The following is a 19235-nucleotide window of genomic DNA, read 5'->3' as shown; positions in this document are numbered from 1 at the left end:
AATAAAAAAAAAAAAAGAGGCACAGCCCTTGAAGTGACCCACTTCCAGTACAAGAAAGCCGAAAATTGTCCAGGTGTAGTGGCTCATGCCTGTAATCCCAGCATTTTGGGAGGCCAAGGCAGATGAATCACCTGAGGTCAGAAGTTTGAGACCAGCCTGGCCAACATGTTGAAACCCTGTCTCTACTAAAAATACAAAAATTAGCCAAGCATGATGGCGTGCACCTGTAGTCCCAACTACTTGGGAGGCTGAGGCAAGAGAATCACTTCAACCAGGGAGGTGGAGGCTGCAGCGAGCCGAGATTCTGCCACTGCACTCCAGCCTGAGTGACAGAGTGAGACTCTGTCTCAAGACAAAAAAAAAAAAAAAAAAAAAAAAAAAGAAAGCCAAAATTATGAGGTCAAGGTAATAATAGTCTTCAAACTACATGGCATTCTCTTTCCATAAGCCAAAAGTTCTTTGGTTATTCTCAGTGAAATGAATTGCCAACCTCCCAATAAATAAATGCATTAAAGGGGTTGTTACATTTTCCTTAGGGGTGCTTAATATGGTTTGGCTTTGTGTCCCCACCCAAATCTCATCTCAAATTGTAGTCCCCACATGTTGAGGGAGGGACCTGGTGGGAGGTAACTGGGTCATGGGGGCTGTTTCCCCCATGCTGTTCCTATCATAGTGAGTGAGTTCTCTTGAGATCTGATGGTTTAAAAGTGTGTGGCAGTTCTCGCCTCTTGCTCGCTCTCTCTCCTGTTGCCATGTAAGACATTCCTTGCTTGCTCTTTACCTTCTGCTATGATTTTAAGTTTCCTGAGGCCTCCCCAGCCTCTTTTCTGTATAAATTACCCAGTCTCAGTTCATTCTTTATAGCAGTGTGAAAAGAAACGAATAGAGTGCTCCTTTCTTTTTAAAAACGGAGCACACTGACAAAGAATCTCCTCTTGATTCAGCCAATATACTTGGTGATGAGAATCCTGTATCAACTAGACTATTGATAACCTCATGCATTTCACTATATACAGATTTAAAAATACAAATTATGTGTAGGTGATGCTATAAAAATACTTCAAAGGTTTACTTTCAGAATGGTTCACTGGGTCACAGTAAAGGAGTTATCAAATACAGAAGAAAATAACAGAACATTATTTTTTACTAGCATCAACTATTCCTGAAATGTGCTACCTTGGGTATGCATGCAGAAAAATGTTTCAGCAATAAATGGGGGCAAGGAAGTTCATTTTAAGGATCGGAGGAACAACTACTATGGGACTTTGAAATCAGATTTTAATATCACCCCAAACTTAATCCCATCAATACTAACACTGTCCTGAGTTTTGCAGTTATTAAGAGGATTAATTTAAAAAGTCACCCATCACCCTGCTTATTCTGAACCAATGTTGACATGAGTCTCAAACTGGTGACAACAAACCACATAGTATTTAAATGAATCAGAAGTTCCTGGTAAGACCTAAACTGGGGAAAAAAAAAAAAAAACAAAAAAAAACCCACAGATGAATTTGATATGCAATCCCTGTTAAGAACCACTGGTCACGTTCAATGGTATTCCATTTAATTACTATAACAACTCTGCCTGTTTTTACAGATAAGGAAACAAAAGTGGAGATGGTTTAAGTAAATTTCCCGCATTATCCTGCTAATGAGGCGCAGCATCAGCACTGGAAGATCTGGCTCTGGGTCCGCAGAGCTAAGGGACCAGGCAATCTGCTTGACTGCAAACGCTGGATCTCACGTTTACTGGCTGGGTGACTTTGGGCAAGTGTCTTAACTGTGTCTCAGTTTCCACATCTGCAAAATGGGGATTTTTGTAGTACATGCCTCAAAGGGCTGTGGTCAGGATCAATGAGTTAACTTAAACAAAGTACTTGCAACAGTGCCTGGCATGTAGTCAGCACTATTTTATTTATTTATTTTTTGAGATGGACTTTCACTGTCACCCAGGCTGGAGTGCAGTGGCACAATCTCAGCTCACTGCAACCTCTGCCTTCTAGGTTCAAGCGATCCTCTGGCCTCAGCCTCCCTAGTAGCTGGGACTACAGGTGTGTACCACCACACCAGGCAAATTTTTTATTTTTAGTAGAGACGGGGTTTCACCATGTTGGCCAGGCTGGTCTTGAACTTCTGATCTCAGGTGGTCCACCTGCCTAAGCCTCCCAATGTGCTGGGATTACAGGCATTGCACCACTGTGCCTGGCCCAGTCAGCATTATTTTTGCTATCATGTGACTTCAACATCCGTGTTTATTTGTCCACATTAATATTATGAAGTGTATGTATTCATTTTCTGATACATTTCATAATTGCTTTGCATATTGTAAAAGTAATCAATAATTTTTTTTTTGAGACAGAGTCTCACTCTGTTGATGGGCTGGAGTGCAGTGGCACAATCATAGCTCACTGTAGCCTCAAACTCCTGGGCTCAAGTGATCCTTCTACCTCAGCCTCCCAACTAGCTATGACTACAGGCGCACGCTATTATGCCTGGCTTTAATTTTTTTTTTTTTTTTCTAGAGACAAGGTCTCACTTTGTTGCCTAGGCTGGTCTCGAACTGCTGGCTTTAACTGATCTTTCTGTCTGGTCCTTCCAAAGTACTGGGATTACAGCCTAAGTGTTTGTTAATTAAGAGATTTCACCCTAGTTTTTACTGTGTCTCATTCCAGAAGGAAGAGCTAATGTGGAGAAGCAGGCCTTAAAGAAGACAACATTTGGCTGAACAAAGGAAACCATTTCCCCCATTTAGAACTATTTGAAAATGGAATGAGCTGCCTGTCCCAGGAGGTCCCTCAACCAAAGATGACTTCTTAGTAGGTAGAGACTTTGTAGAGCAGATTAAAGAATTGCCTTTGCAGGGGAGGGGAAAAACTGGGTAAAATAAGCTCTACAGATTCAATGTATTATCCTGGAGATGACTGCTGGCTTGAAGAGCTACCTTTTGGCCAGGCATTTTTATAGGAATGTAGCTTTAGTTACATTATATTCAGACATTTACCTTGACTAAAAAGCATGAAAATATGAAATACAGGTTGTTAAAAATGGGTGTGTGATTATGACAGAGATGTTACGAATTCATTGATTTTAGGATATCTCACAGTAAAATGGCCCAGTGAAGTGATTGTAACAATTTAATTGAATAAGTGACTAAGAATAACTTAATGTTTGCAATGAGAAAGAAAATACTTCCTGAATTTCTAAGTATACTCTATATTTTCTATGCAAAATAAGTAATCAGAGGTATTCGATTTCTTAAAGAAAAATCAGTATAAGCACTGTTGTTTTTTATTCTAATTTCTTAAGAGAAAAAAATTAGCAAATTCTCTGATTCATTTTTATTCCACGAAAGTACACCTTGGCCATTTTCCTGCAGGAATGCCCAGCCTTGAGTTTGCTTCTCCTCAGCAGTTATTGTCTTATGTTTGTAAGCAACAATACGAAGGAGGAAAAGGAAATGTTAAAAGCTTTCTTAAAAATTACCACAGCAGGCCGGGTGCGGTGACTCACATCTGTAATCCCAGCACTTTGGGAGGCCAAGGTGGGTGGATCACTTGAGGTCAGGAGTTTGAGACCAGCCTGGCCAACGTGTGAAACCCCATCTCTATTAAAAATACAAAAAAATTAGCCTGGCATGGTGGTGCATGCCTGTAATCCCAGCTACTAGGGAGGCTGAGGCAGGAGAATCACTTGAACCTGGGAGTTGGAGGTCGCAGTGAGCTGAGATTGCACCACTGCACTCCAGCCTGGGTGACAGAGCAAGACTCCGTTTCAAAAAAAAAAAAAAAAAAAATGACCATGGCAACAACAATTTGACTACAGCCAAATCCATCAGTTTGCTTCCCTGTTTGGGTATGCTCTCTCTCATTCATTCATGCATATTCTCTCTCTCTTACAAACATAGTATTCATTCAATATGTCATGTACCCAGCAGAAGTGAGTGTTGGGAGTTAAGGGTGCAAACTGCACATGACAACACTAAATTTACCTCAGTTTGTAAAAAGAAGAAAATAACAGTACCTAGTTCATAGGGCCATGGAAAGTATTAAATGAGATAATCTATGCAAGGCTATTATAATGCCTAGCGTGTAGTAAATGTTTAATAAGTGCTAGCTATTTTTTTTAATTAATCAAGAGCTAATCAGTGCAAAGATCAGAATCTAAGCTGTAAGCTGTAATTCCTACTCATACTTTAATAAATATTAGTTATTTCTTGTTTAATAGTTGTGAAGGCACATGGTTCAGGATTATGCAGTAGTTTAAGATCTTCAGTAGGGGCAACGGTTATTATTGGGTCATGATATGCTTCAGTTTCATCCAAAATAATATTTTAGTCAATAGAATGCTCAAAACAGAATTCATTAGAGCTTAAAAAACAAAGAAAGAAATCCAGCTCTATAAATGTATAAAGCTGTTGCTTCCTTTTACTTTGGAGGAGACAAAATTCAAGCTCCAACTATTCCTTCCAACTATTCCCCAACCGAGCCACACAATCACACACTAAAAATTAAGGAACCAATGAGGCAGAACATGGGATGATGTATTATGAAGGGTTAATGATCCACTCTCAGTTCTTTACCCCCTTTGTCCCTCTCAGAACTTCCCAAAGCTGTACTAAGCAGAGACAGGGGTGTGCAGCCCAATGAAGAGAATTCCGACCTGTGTGTTATTCTCTCAGGGGGTCAGAAAGGATGATCACTCTACTGTTAAGGCCTCTTTTCTGGGGAGATTTCTGAGAAATCCTAAGCACTTCTCTGAAGAAAGCATCCTCTGAATTCTCTTCAACTTTTAATTTTTTAATTTTATTATCAAATGGCCCTTTTGGATGCTGTTTTTACCTGTCTGCTAGTTGGTCAAACCAAGATGGTGAAACTCTGTCACCTTCCAAGCCCTGTGTCATTTTCTTTCTTTGACAGAAACACAAAGGTCACCAGATTAGGGGCCCCAGAAGGTAAAGAGATGGATGAAAAACTGGTTTAGAAAATAGTCTACATATATAAGCAAGGGGCTAAAAATCACAGTGCTTTTACTGGAAACAAGGGATACAGAGGCAAACAAAAGTTATAAAAAGGTTCTTTCCTTTCTGCAGCCAAAACCCTATGTCATCACAGCAACACGACATTCAAGAAAGTCCAACCTATTTTAAGTAGTTTCAGGTGACAGATTATTGGCCCACAATGAGACACAGACTGATGGATCACAGAGGAGAAAAAGTTCACTGTGCTGTGAACCACCACTAATCTTGACTGATAAAACCAGAAGAGACACACATCTCCATTTTCAAGTGTTTACTGGGTGACATCACACTGTGGATTTAACCAAAGTGCTGTCTGGATTATCCAGTAAATGTCACATAGTAGTACTTGAGTAGCTCAGATAAAGGCCTCGGAACACTGTGAATGAATTCATAGCGCAAAACAAATTTCCCAGATGAGTGTGTAATCTTAACTCCATGTCATTTTACTTTATGTTTTTTCACGTATAATTCTAACCCCATAAATGACATTCATCTTGTAAAGAACTATGGTTTTGTTTTAGAAAGTCAATCCAGTAATATGAGACAGTTTCTATTACGTGCATAAGAAAGTATACGATCGCAAGTTTAGCCCTAGATTGGTAAAATAAATATTACAATATTAATCCATCAGGGAAATGCAAATCAAAATAATGAAATACCACTTCATGCCCACTAGGATGTCTACAATAAAAAAGAGACAATAACATGTGCTGGTGAGGACGCGGAGCAATTGGAACCCTCATACAATGCTGGTGGGAATGTAAAATGGCGCAGTCCTTTTGGAAAAGTCTGGCAGTTCCTAAAAAGGATAAACATAGAGTCACCATATGACCCAGCAATTACACTGTGAGATAAATACCACGAGAAATGGAAATAAAAACAAATGTCCACTGTACACAAATGTTCACAGCAGCACTATCCATAATAGCCAAAAGACAGAAAGAACCCAGATGACCATCAACTGAAGAATGATATATAAAATGTGGTATATGCATATAATGAAATGTTACTCAGCACTAGAAAGGAATGAAATAGTGATACATGCTACAACATGGATAAACCTTGAAAACATTATGCCAAGTGAAAGAATCCAGTCACAAAAGACCACATATGCATGTTTATATGAAACGTCCCAAACAGCAAATAGAGATAGAAAGTAGATTTAGTGGTTGCCTAGAGCTGGGGAACTTGGGAGAAAATAGGAAGTAAATGCTAACAGATACAGGATTATACAGGATTTCTTTTTGAAAATGTTCTAAAATTGATTGTGGTGATGGCTGCCTAGCTCTGTGAATATACAAAAACAAAACCCAGTCTACTGCACACTTTAAGTAGGTGAGTTGTATGGTATGTATATTACATCTTAATAAAACTGTTATAAAGAAGAATATTAGCACATCAGATAGTAGGAGATATAACTGTCTAACTTGGGACTCCAAAGCCATCATCTCTCACAGCATTCAGTGTTTAACCCATCAGCTAAAGGTTCAAGACCTACAGGATGGTCTTCAAAAGTCTCAGCAACCTCATAATGTTTAGGGTAATCCTGTTACCTCTACTCATCAGTATGCTTGATGACTAAACCTTCCTCCTGTTTGTGTTCCCTACAATAATTAGCATGGAGCTTTCCACAGAGTGGATGCTCAGTGATCATTTATTGAACGAAGTTCAAATAAATTTCAAAATTAACCCACTGGAGTCAGTAAATAAAAATAAACAAAGAATAATTAGCTCTATATGGGGAAAGCTGGTCAGCACCACAACAGCCATTTGCCAAACTAAATCTGAGGTATCTAAAAATACAATTATGTCCTTCAAATTTTCGTCAGTCCTGGTTATAACAATAAGAACCACCCTCTTAAACTGCCAAGTTTGTATCTCCCTTGATAAACTTCCTGGGCAGGGGTAACTTCCAGTGTGGATTAATGGACAAGATCCCTGAGAGTGCAAGGTGGGGCAGCATCCTATTTCCCGGACATGAGTATAATAGTAATAGCATTCTTAGAATGGTACCCAGAATATAGTAAGTGCTCAACAGTGTAAGCTATTATTGTTGTATAATTAAATTTGCAGAATCCCTGAAACAGAGCTGGGGCACAGCTACTGTCATCATGGACAAGAGCATATGGTATCAGACCTAAACCAGGCCCCCTGGGACAGATTTAAGTAAAATTATGGAATTAGACTCTTTCCTAAATTCTTAGTTGGGAAATACTGCTCCAGACTACAGGGGGTCTTCAACAAGTATGACCTGCCAACATTTGAAACTCGTTCATGTTGAGGAACACTCCTAGAGGAGATGATTATAAGCTTTGATGGGCAACTCATAGTTGTGCTTTGGAAGGGAAAGCACACACTACCCCCATTCTGATTAAATAACTACTTTTCAGAATCGATTTGCTCTTATTTTTCTTCTGAATTTTCCAGCACTGACAGAACCAGGGAATCACATGTGGTTTGTAGAAGCCAACAGCACTACAGGTGGTAAGAAGCTTTTGGAGAGATAACTTATCTGAAATGATCTCAAATTTTGGCAACAAAATTCTTTTGAAGATACAAAGGGCTTTTCTACAATATTTTCTTTTTCATGTTTCCCATAGGTTCTTTTTTTTTTTGAGATGGAGTCTTGCTCTGTTGCCCAGGCTGGAGTGCAATGGCGTGATCTCAGCTCACTGCAATCTCCGCCTCCTAGGTTCAAGTGACTCTCCTGCCTTAGCCTCCCAAGTGGCTGGGATTACAAGCATGTGCTACCACACCCAACTAATTTTGTGTTTTTAGTAGAGATGGGGTTTCACCATGTTGGCCAGGCTGGTCTTGAACTCCTGACCTCAAGTGATCCACCCACCTTGGCTTCCCAAAGTGCTGGGATTACAGGTGTGAGCCACTGCTCCCCCTGGCCTCCCACAGCTTCTTCTTCTTTTTTCTTCTTCTTCTCCTTTTTTTTTTTTCCTCCCATAGCTTCTTGAATCTACATATTGCTAGTGTGGCAGACACTGAGAACAGTCACTAATACTCTCTTCTTCCTGAGTCCCCAACTATACCTTTGTCCAGCCCTCCTTGTAGGTAGGTGTGGTACTTGTGACTCAATCCTGGCTAATGAAATGAGAGTGGAAGTGATGTGCACTTCCTGGTGTAGTCCTGGCCCAATCTCATTCTTTCCCCATGGACCAGCTTGAATGAATTGAGTGCGGGAGGACAGAACCACAAGATGGAAAGAGCCTGGGTCCCTGAATAAATTTATGGAACAAACACCCCCTTTATCTGCACTGAACTTTATATAGGAAAAAAATCTACAGTTTAATAAGCCACTAGGGTTTTGGAGTTGTTTATATAGAAACTCCTGTTAGTTACTCTAATGAATAAAGCTAGGTAAAAAGCTCTGTTAATTATTGTTTACGAGATCTGGCTTGCTTCCAGAATAGTTCTGGAAACACTATTAGATACTGGCAACAAAAATACTAATATAACTCCAGAAAAACACATTTCTTAGGTGTCTTCTCCTCTATCTTTACCATCACTAAGATCACTGGAAACAATCTTTCCATCACACTGAAAACACATCCCGGTGTATCATCTGATCCTGCCTGATTCTCCTTTGGAGAACATGTCTTTCCCATTGTGTGATTTGTAATCTTAATCCAAATCTGCTTGCAGAGTTGGCCAATGTATATCTCCTATTGTGCACTTGATTAATCATTGACCAGCTCATAGAACTGTTATATAATTACATCGAGCTCCAGGCTAAGAGTTTACCAATTTAAAAATGGAAGATAAAAATGAAAAGATATCAGCAAACATTAATTAAATTTATTAAAATTTTATATAGTTCTTTACAGCAACCTTTTAGCAACCCATGCTCTAATGTAAACTAGTTTTTTATGTGTTAAAATGATGAATGGAACAAAATGTAAACGGAATCTTTTATGATTACCACCTCCAGTCTCTTCGGATGAATAAGCAAAGTTAGTACAGCTACTTTGGGTTTTAACACCATCACCTACCTCTGAAAGTTTCTGCTGTAGTTTGGTAACCCTTCCTTTACCCCTCTCCCCCTTTTAACTTTCTTAATATTTACCACAATTACATCTTTTTATTTGCTTGTTTTCTGCCTGCTTTCATGACCAGACTATAATTCCCATGAAGGCAGAGCTTACCTTAGTTTCTGTTCATCCAATATTTACTGAATATTTACTGAATGCCTATTGTCGGGCACTGCTAGGTACTAGAGAATTAAACATAATTATGGTGCCTGACCTCATGGTACACATAATTTGGTGGAGGAAAAAGACAATAAATCTATAAATAATTTATACTGAGATAGTGCTACTACATTATCCTTTTTACTTTATGCTTCCTTGGGTTTTTGGTGGTGGTAGGAGTTGTCTGTCTAACTCATGATAGCCCATCCTGTCTGAGAACTGTCTCTTTGCATTCAGACATGTGCCATGGCAACCATATTTGTGTCATGTGGCTCTGTCTCCTTGATCACAGTTGCCTGGACCACACTGGACTTGTGACCTACCTATGTTGCCTCAACCAACTTTTCTGTGAGACTGGAATTGTAACTGAGAGATTCTAATTCTGTCTGGGCTCTTTAGTTGAACTGAAAGAGGATACATAACCTAGAATGCTATGAGGTAGCTACCTTCTGCCAGGTGGTCAGGCAAACTGAGCAAGCCAGGCTGAGAGAAAGAAAAAAAAAATGCAAGTCATGCAAAGAAGTAGAGATGAGAGATTTTATGGTCTGAGAAAGACCAAAAGGGCCTCCTTTTAGATTCTTGTTCCTAGTCCCTTTTCCCATGAGACACCCCTTTTTCCTTACAGCTTATTTAAAATTTTTTCTATTTATTAATTTTTTTTTGCTACCGCTACCTTGTATTAGTGTCTTTTCCTTTCAGTCACGTTTTGACTAAGACATTTCTACTTAATATGATTTTAACATATTCTACTTAATCTCATTCATTTTCGTAGCATAAGACATGGGCTACTACCAGAAAGTGGAGTTTTTTTTAACGTCATGAAAAATGCATCTGTTGGATTTTAATGCTCAGGAATTCTAATAATGCTTCTCAGGTGCTTGTCTAGAAGTTCCCCATTTTCCTCACTAGTGATTTTGTAATACAGACTCATTTCCATTCAAGGGCAGAACATCAAAGACCAACATTCTTTAAACTCCGTGAAAAACACTATCACATGTGTACACCAGCTTTTGTGGCTAGTTAACATTCAGGGGAGAAAATAATTATTCTTATAAACATCAATGGTGTGTTTGTACTCATAAACAAAAAGGCTTTGATAATAAATGCTTTGATTTAAGACCAGTAGTTGATCAGCTAGTGTGATTAACAACTGCTAACTGGAGACACCAGAATTTGAATGCACCTAAACTAAAATACATGGCTTTTAAGGTCCTACTCAAGAAAGAAAACCTAAGCTTTAAATTCGAGGTAGGTGGGGGTTTCAGTAACAGCACACCCACAAACATCTGCTACTTTTAAAGTATATTCCTTCATTATTCATCAAACATTTAATAAGCAGAGCCATGTCAGACACTGAAAATGTAAAAGGAGCACGACTTGGTCTCTGTTCTAAATGAGCTCACAGTTAACTGGGGAAGACAGACAAGGAAACAGGAAACCCTTTGATAACAAGAATGCCCTCTGATAAGTACCCTGCTAGACACAGCAGCATGGATGAAAGGCCTCTAACCCATTCTGAGGTGGGCCAACAGCTGAGTCCAAGAGAATAAGCAGGACTTGGGCAGACTGAGAGCAGAGACAGAGACAGATTGGCTGAGAGAGGGGCACTTAGCAATACATGTTCAAACGCAAAGATGGGAGGCAGAAGAGAGTCTACATGTTAACATCCAGTTGTCCTGCAACAGCTGCATGAGTGATACTTTGGATAACTGCCTATATTTTTCCTCCAAAGTTCCCGTTTCCAATGCTTTTCATGTGTTCTGATTACTCTAGGAAGTAAGTATGATCCAGTTCAACAAATATTTATTGAGGATGTGGTAAGTTTTAGGTACTGCTGTAGGCCTTGGAAGTACAAAGATGAATTAAAGACTGGGGGAAAAGGCCAAGTGTGGTGGCACATGCCTGTAAATCCCAGCACTTTGGGAGGTTAAGGCAGGATTGCTTGAGCTCAGGAGTTTGAGACCAGCCTGGTCAACACTGACCATCTCTATAAAAAGTCAAAAAATTAGCTGGGCATGGTGGTAATGCATGCCTGTGATCCTGGCTACCTGGGCAGCTGAGGTGGGAGGATGGTTTGAGCCTGGGAGGTTGAGGCTGCAGTGAGCCAAGATCGAGCCACTGCACTCCAGCTAGGGCGAGACTGCAAACCCTGTCTCAAAAAATAAAAATAAATAAATTTAAAAAATAAAGACTGGGGAAAAGACTTGTCCTAAAAAAAACTCCTAGCCTAGTGGGGAACACAGGTACACAGTATCTCGAGTGTTAAGAAAGACACATGCATAGAACTAAAGGGGCAATGAGGCCTGAAATAAGTCTATAAGAATGAATAAATGTCAACAGTAACAACAACCAAAGTGAGAGAAGAGTTTCAGATACACAGAACAGTGTTAAGTACAGAGATTTGCCAGGAAAAAGGACCAGGACATAGAGAGAGGCCAGATTTGAGAAATATCCCTGGTAAAAGGAATTTGAGGAGATATAGGCAATCAATCAATCAACAGAAATAGCTCAGAGGCAAAATAATTGAAATGTGATTGCTGGGAATGAAGGAAGGGGGTTAGTCTAATTATGACTAGGTTTTCTATTTCAGTGTATGATGCACTACCTGAGGGAGGGAATGCAGGAGGAAGAGCTGATATCAGAAGAAAAAAATTATCTTGAGGCTGAGGGCCTCCTGTTACGTCCCAGCAGTCAGAGAAGCAGTAAGGACAGGATTATGGTGAGGGAGCTCACGCAGTAGCATAAAGGTGAGTGTGGGAGCTGCAGCCGTGATAATAAATGAAATGACAAAAGAAAAGTCAGTAGAAAGAAGCGCAATTGCCCAGAATGAGAATCCTAAAACATCGGCCAGTATGGTGGCTCACGCCTACAATCCCAGTGCTTTGGGAGGCTGAGGCAGGAGGATCGCTTGAGGCCAGAAGTTCGTGAAGAGCCCGGGCAACATACCGAGACCCTGTCTCCACAAGAAAAACAGAGATAATCCTAAAAAGTTATATTTAGGTGTAGATACAGGAGTTAGTTGAGAAGGATCCCGCACAAGGGAGTAATGAGTATCTGGGAGCGTCGAGTAGTCAAAAATTTTAAATGGCACAGAGACTTAGGAAGATATGGATTGGAAAACTGGCAATGTGCAGGTCACTGGAGATATTCTGCAGAGAGGATTCACTGGAATGGTGGAAGAGATCGGGCTGCCAATGTTAAGGAGTAAATGGAAGTAAACAAGTGGTCCCTGGGTAGTCAGAACACTCTTTTAAGACAGGGAAAGGAGAGAAGGGGCATTAGCTAGACACGGGACAATCTCTCTCTCCTCTGTCTGTTTCATTTTAAAGGGTTGAGTGGGTTTGTAGCCTGAGTGGAAAGCCAGCAGAGACTAATGATATGGATGATACAGAAAGAAGAGATAACTAAAGGGCAAGGTCCTGGAGGAGAAAGTTGTCTTACTTAGGTCATTTATTTTAACAAGGTTTAGCTTCTGGTTATCTCTAGCCAGGAGAGCAATCAAGCAGTGTATGTCCCAAGGATAGGCATCTGTGGAAAGGAACAGTAGCAGCAGGCATGAAACAATGGCACTGGGCTTGTAGCAACTCCAGATAGCTGGAGGCAAATTCTGTATTTGATTTTATTATTTTATATTTTTTGAGACAGAGTTTCACTCTGTCACCCAGGCTGAAGTGCAGGTGGGCAATCTCAGCTCACTGCAACCTCTACCTAACAGGTTCAAGTGATCCTCCTGCCTCAGCCTCCCGAGTAGCTGGGACTACAGGTGCCCGCCACCACACCCGGCCAATTTTTGTAGTTTCAGTAGAGATGGGATTTCACCATGTTGGCCAGGCTGGCCTCAAACTCCAGACCTCAAGTGATCTGTCCCCCTCAGCCTCCCAAAGTGCTGGGATTACAGGTGTGAGCCACCACACCTGGCCAAATTCTGTATTTTATTAATGTGAAGGCTTCTTACATGTGTGGTAAAACCACCCTACAGAGGAGGCACGTTACAGTGAGATCGGGAGTTCACCTCCCAATTGGCGTCTACTGAAGTTCAGAGATAAACAATCAAACACAGCCCCCAATCCAGGGGATTACAATCACCACACACATATGATTTTCTTAGGATGCAAAGGAACCAGAGCTGAGTTGAAGTCCCAGGTTTGCTGGAAATTAACTATTGGCTTTGGGCAATTTTTTTTTTTTTTTTTTTGCTCTAGGCTTCAGTTTCTTCATCTACAAAATGGAGAAGAGATGCTATAAACAAGGCTTAGGGAAGCTTAAGCAAGTTCATGGACATGAAAGTGGCTTGTAAAATATAATGCTTAATTTAAATATATGTATGTGTATGATGGCACATAAAAGATGTTATTTGGGCCGGGCGCAGTGGCTCATGCCTGTAATCCCAGCACTTTGGGAGGCCGAGGCAGGAGCATCACTTGAGGTCAGGAGTTTGAGACCAGCCTGGCCAACATGGCAACACCCCATCTCTACTAAAAATACAAAAAATTAGCCGTCATGGTGGTGGGCGCCTGTAATCCCAGCTACTTGGGAGGCTGAGGCAGGAGCATCACTTGAACCCAGGAGGCGGAGGTTGCAGTGAGCCGAGACTGCACCATTGCACTCCAGCCTGGGTGACAGGGCGAGACTCCATCTCAAAAAAAAAAAAAAATAAATAAAAGGTATTGTTTGGAGTCTCTGAATATTGGGCAAATCTGGAAGAGATGGACCATTGGATAATTTTTTGGTGGTGGTGTTATCTCTGTAAAGACATATCAACACAAAGGAAAATACATATTGAAGTAAAAACCTTTGGCTTTCACTGATGATTAATTCCTATTGATTTTCTGGTAGTCTTGTGATCCTGAGAAGGGGCCCTGAAGGTAAGGTATTGACAGTGGTGTGCAAATTAACTCTCCCAGGCACTGGAGGGTAGGGAAACAAGTGCTGCTAGTGGACTGTTCTCGGGGGTAGTGTGTGGCAATGGAGGCTGTAAAAATGGGATTCCAAGGTACATCCTAATGGCCAAGGGCTCAAGTTTTGGTCAGGTCAAACCTGAATTCAAATCCTGGCACAGTCACTGAGACATACATGTGACCTTGGACAACTCAACCTCACCAAGCTTCAGTTACCTCATCTGTAAACTGGGGTAATATGATGTACCCTTGGAATGCTGTAACGATTAAATACAACTGTGTGTATAGCTTTGTGTGTGTGTGTGTGTGTGTGTGCGTGTGTATGAAGAATTCTTAGCATACTGTAGGTGCTCAATAAATGCTAGCTATTATATTGGGTCTGCTATTACAGGTTTCACAGATTCTTGTACTGTCTTCACATGTTGCTGTTATTTATTGATACTTACTATGTGCCAGACACTAAGAGCTTTATAGGTACAGTGTTACCTAAATGTACATGTTTAAAGTAAAACATCTGTTATGTCAGTCTTCAAAACCCTATTAGAGCAGAAACTATGGCTACCCTATTCTTATCTGGGTATATACAAAAAATACCCAGCACAGAATGGGCATGTAAGTATTTGTTAAAAGAAGGAAGGGAGGGAGGGGAGGAGGGAGGAAGGCAGAGCTGTTGAGAGCTGCTAACTCAGGCTCTATAAAATTCAAGAACTAAGAAAAATAGAAACAAGGCACCCCAAGCCACTGAATGTGATGAAAACTTCTTGTAAAAAGTCACTTTCTTGTGTCGATGTGACTTATTTTTATTCTCCTAAGCTCTGGTATAATCTTTCTCTCCATCTGGCAAGTGGGAATGGACCAGTTATATTTCAAGTTTGCTAACAAAGACTGCTTAAGGTAAATATTTGTTGCTTTCCAAAGCAAACTGTGCCATTTTAGTTTTAGGTTATTTTAATGATAAGCTCCTTCAGATCTAGTTCAACTGATACTTTGTACTACAGCATGAAAGTACATTTGCCTCTAATTCAGACTATATTTAGAATCCTTTTCATGCCGCATCATTCAAACAGATGTGGGCCCAGCTGTTGCTATTCTTTCCTAGAATCTCACTAAAATGTAGATTTTCGTAAGATTTTTAAAAATAAATTACACAGGTGTTATCTCTGAGGCAATTAGCACATTAGCTATAAAAAGAATGCCTACTAATTAGGTTCTCTTTTCATAAGCTCAGAAAAGGGGACAGGGTTTTCACTGTTTTGATTAATCTATTTTCATTTGGTTGTATTATTTTTTCACAAAACAAAAATTGTTGTTATTGTTATTAGTTGTTATTTCAATATTATCCCAGAATAGTGATCCAATAAAGCCCTCTCTTTAGATTCAGATTCAAGTACTGAACATGGTGCAGAAATGCTGTAAGTGCTCTCAGATCCACTATGTCATTTTCTTCCAAGTGATTTAAAAATACCTAAACAAATCTGAATGGCATATCTTTGAAAATGTGAGAAATCAGAGAAAGAACTGAAAATCCTGAATACAGCTGAGTCTAAGTATCTTAGGGTAGGGGAAAGGTCAGCAGTTGAACAATCCTCGATAAGGATAGAACCTCTCTGGTTCTGTTTCCTCATTTCTGAAACAAAGACCAATGGGTTGGTCAGTCTCAAACCCCCATGTGACTCCGCTAGAATCCCTCCTTCTCTGAAGTGGATGGCAGCCTTAGCTGTGCCTCAGTATGCCATCCTCTCAGCCACAGTTTGGAACTCTTCCAAAGCAAGTCTAATAAAGGACTTGTGAGAGTCGAAGACATACTCTGTCTTTCAGGGGTATTTTTTTTAACAAAGTGGCAGAACTTAAAATTTTTTTTCTTTTTTTTTTTTACTCTCTAAATGTTTACTTGAGTCATTCTTTTTTTTTTTTTCTTTTTCCGGAGTCTCGCTCTGTTGCCCAGGCTGGAGTGCAGTGGTGTGATCTCAGCTCACTGCAAGCTCTGCTTCCCAGGTTCACGCCATTCTCCTGCCTAAGCCTCCCAAGTAGCTGAGACTACAGGCGCCCGCCACCACGCCCAGCTAATTTTTTTGTATTTTTAGTAGAGACGGGGTTTCACCATGTTAGCCAGGATGGTCTCCATCTCCTGACCTTGTGATCTGCCCACCTTGGCCTCCCAAAATGCTGGGATTACAGGCGTGAGCCACTGCGCCCGGCCTACTTGAGTCATTCTAAAGCCAGTAATAGTCCAATGCTTGCTGTGGATCAAATGCCTGAGTTGAAACAAAGAGGCAAAATGGGCCCTGGGTTCCTCTAGGGTCTACATGTTGACTGTGCTGTGTCATGAGGGCACTGCCCCCTCCCCAGCTGGACAGCCCTCCCCGCTACCAAACAATACCTTTCATTTGTGCATTGCTTTATGTGTCTTGATACATAATTGCATTTCATCTTCATGTTATCCTGATCTTATTGATATTCACAGAGGTTAATTAAGCAGTTTCCAGTTGGTTAGAGACACTAAGAGGCAAAATGGGTGCCCAAACCAAGATCTCTTGATTCTTTTTTAATTTTTTTGACACAAGGTCTCACTTGCCCAGACTGGTGTGCAGTGGCATGATCTTGGCTCACTGAAACCTCCACTTCCCACCTCAGCCTCCCAAGTAGCTGGGACTGCAGGTGCAGGTCACCATGAGCAGCTAATTTTTGTATATGCGGGGTTTCGTCATGTTGACCATGGTGGTTTTGAACTCCTGGACTCAAGTGATCACCCACTTAAGCCTCCCAAAGTGCTGGGATTACAGGCATGAGCCACCATGCCTAGCCCCAGATCTCCTGATTCTAAGTTCAGTGTTTTCTTAATTAAAAACAATAGCAGCAGAAGTGGCTAATAATTACTTTGCATTTACTATATATCAGACCTTGTGCTAAGAGCTTTATATAGAAGGTTGTCATATTTAATCATTGTCATAACTCTATGATGTAGATATTATTACTCTTTCCACTTACTGATGTGAAAAATGAAACCACAGAGAGGTTACATAATATACCCAAGGTCACACAGCTGTCAAGAAGCACAATTAAGATTCTAATCCAGGCAGTTTGGCTTTATGACTTGCTCTTTCAACAATTATGCTAGACTACCTTCCTACAATTAGCATAGATGCCCTCATCAGAACGATTCTCATAGTTTCCATCCATAATTTCGGTAAAAATATTTTCAAGTGGAGTCCAGAACTGCCCAGTAGGGCTGTACACTGTGTTACACATGGCATTGTGTATAACACAGGTCACTGGTGTCAGGGAACACTGCTCTTGCACAGTCAACAGATACTTTGAAGGGATAAGCTGTGTAGCATTATTACTGGTGCCCAAGCACAGTATATTATACACAGACAACGGGGAGTAACTGTCCTGAATTGAACTCAGTGGAAATTACCAACTCTTCATTGACACAGTCTGAAGTACAGCCTTTCTCCAGGTTACAGCCGTTTGAAAATTAAAAGACAAAAGCCCCAAGCCAAAAGGACAAGTTCTAACTCTTAAATCGAAGGAGTAAGTGGAGCAGAGGTAAATATGCGATGCATCAACCATATGTAGCCTGCAAATAGGTTTTGTTTAGCTAAACGTTGCATTTCAAATTTCAATCAATAGCTAATATTTAAAAATTAAGGGATCTTGCCGGGTGCAGTGGCTCACACCTATAATCTCAGCATTTTGGGAGGCCAAGGTGGGCAGATCACTTGAGGTCAGGAGTTCGAGACGAGCCTGGCCAACATGGTGAAACCCCGGCTCTACTAAAAATACAAAAATTTGCTGGGTGTAGTGGCATGCGCCTGTAATCCCAGCTACTTGGGAGGTTGAGGCAGGAGAATCGCTTAAACCTGGGTGGGGGAGGTTGCAATGAGCCAAGATCATGCCACTGCACTCCAGCCTGGGTTACAGAGTGAGACTCCCTCTCAAAGAAAAAAAAAAAATTAAGGGATGACATTAAAAAATCCAAACATCCGATTTCTCTAGAAAAACTGGAAGATGCAACACTACACAGGGTATTTGCTCTCTAGCTCACCAATTTCAATGGGACCAGTTTTATCCATTTCCTTCCCTCCCTGGCCCCTGCAGGAGTTAGAGTTTGCAAGCTACGAGCTAGACAGAGCATGGAGGGAGATTAGGAAGTATATTGGAGCCTTCTAAGATTCTTAAATCACCCACTTAGCCAGTTGTGGTTGCTCATGCCTGTGATCCAGCACTTTGGGAGGCAGAAGTGGGAGGATTGCTTGAGGCCAGGAGTTTGACAACAGCCTGGGCAACATAGCAAGACCCCATCTCCTTAAAAAAAAAAAAAAAGTTACGGCCGTGCACGGTGGCTCATGTCTGTAATCCCAGCACTTTGGGAGGCTGAGGCGGGTAAGATTGCTTGAGGCCAGGAGTTCGAGACCAGCTTGGCCAACATGGCAAAATACCTGCTCTACTAAAAATACAAAAATCAGCTGGGTGTGATGGCGCACTCCTGTAATTACAGCTACTCAGGAGGCTGAGGCAAGAGAATCGGTTGAACCCGGGAGGTGGAGGCTGCAGTGAGCCGAGATTGTGCCACTGCACTCCAACCTGGGCAACAGAGCAAGACCCTCTCTAGAAAAAAAAAATCACCCTCTCGATACACCCAGTGATCTCCTCTGGCAACCTTGCTGTATAATGTGTTGAAATTTTAGTCATTTAGTGACTGAACTTTTATCTTTGCCTCAGTTGACAAAGTAAACTGACAGATCCATCTCAAATTGATTTTGTCTCCAAAACTAGAATGTCTCCAATATTAAAGCACTACCACAAAAATTACAAATTGGGCCAACATCCTTTTAATGGGCTTCAAGATGAATAACCCATGCTGTTGTTTGCAGTGTTCTGCACAGTTGGGAAAAGAGCTAGCTATAACTTTCTCATGTGTTTTAAGGAAGAAAGACAGTCAGTGGCAAAGTCTGAACGCTTTAAAGCTATCTTAATCGGCTTATAACTGTCACAAAAGTTGTAGACAAAAAAGAAAAGGTGACATCTGCATTCACCGACCCATTCTGGATAGGCAGGCAGAGTTTTCTTCCTGAAAACCTCTGTGGTCTGTGCAGCTGTGCTACCATTCAGGAAGAC

General features: G+C 40.9%; 1 protein-coding gene across 14 annotated transcripts in view, besides 2 other annotated features; it reads right to left on the bottom strand.

The window, feature by feature from the left end:
* The window catches only part of NSMCE2 (NSE2 SUMO ligase component of SMC5/6 complex), a 275261-nt gene that overhangs the window by 66935 nt on the left and 189091 nt on the right, over positions 1–19235 (bottom strand). The window lies entirely within an intron of this gene.
* Positions 4998–5057: an enhancer, noted in NCBI's record as "active region_27909". NCBI's record gives its function as "activates an Ori minimal core promoter by ATAC-STARR-seq in GM12878 lymphoblastoid cells {active_cell/tissue: GM12878}" and the evidence as "EXISTENCE:reporter gene assay evidence [ECO:0000049][PMID:35858748]".
* Positions 14804–14973: an enhancer, noted in NCBI's record as "active region_27908". NCBI's record gives its function as "activates an Ori minimal core promoter by ATAC-STARR-seq in GM12878 lymphoblastoid cells {active_cell/tissue: GM12878}" and the evidence as "EXISTENCE:reporter gene assay evidence [ECO:0000049][PMID:35858748]".

The sequence above is a fragment of the Homo sapiens genome, chromosome 8, assembly GCF_000001405.40.
Source record: "Homo sapiens chromosome 8, GRCh38.p14 Primary Assembly".
Taxonomy (NCBI): Eukaryota; Metazoa; Chordata; class Mammalia; order Primates; family Hominidae; genus Homo; species Homo sapiens.
The sequence above is the reverse complement of the archived record's forward strand: the minus strand, read 5'-3'. Positions and strand labels throughout refer to the sequence as shown.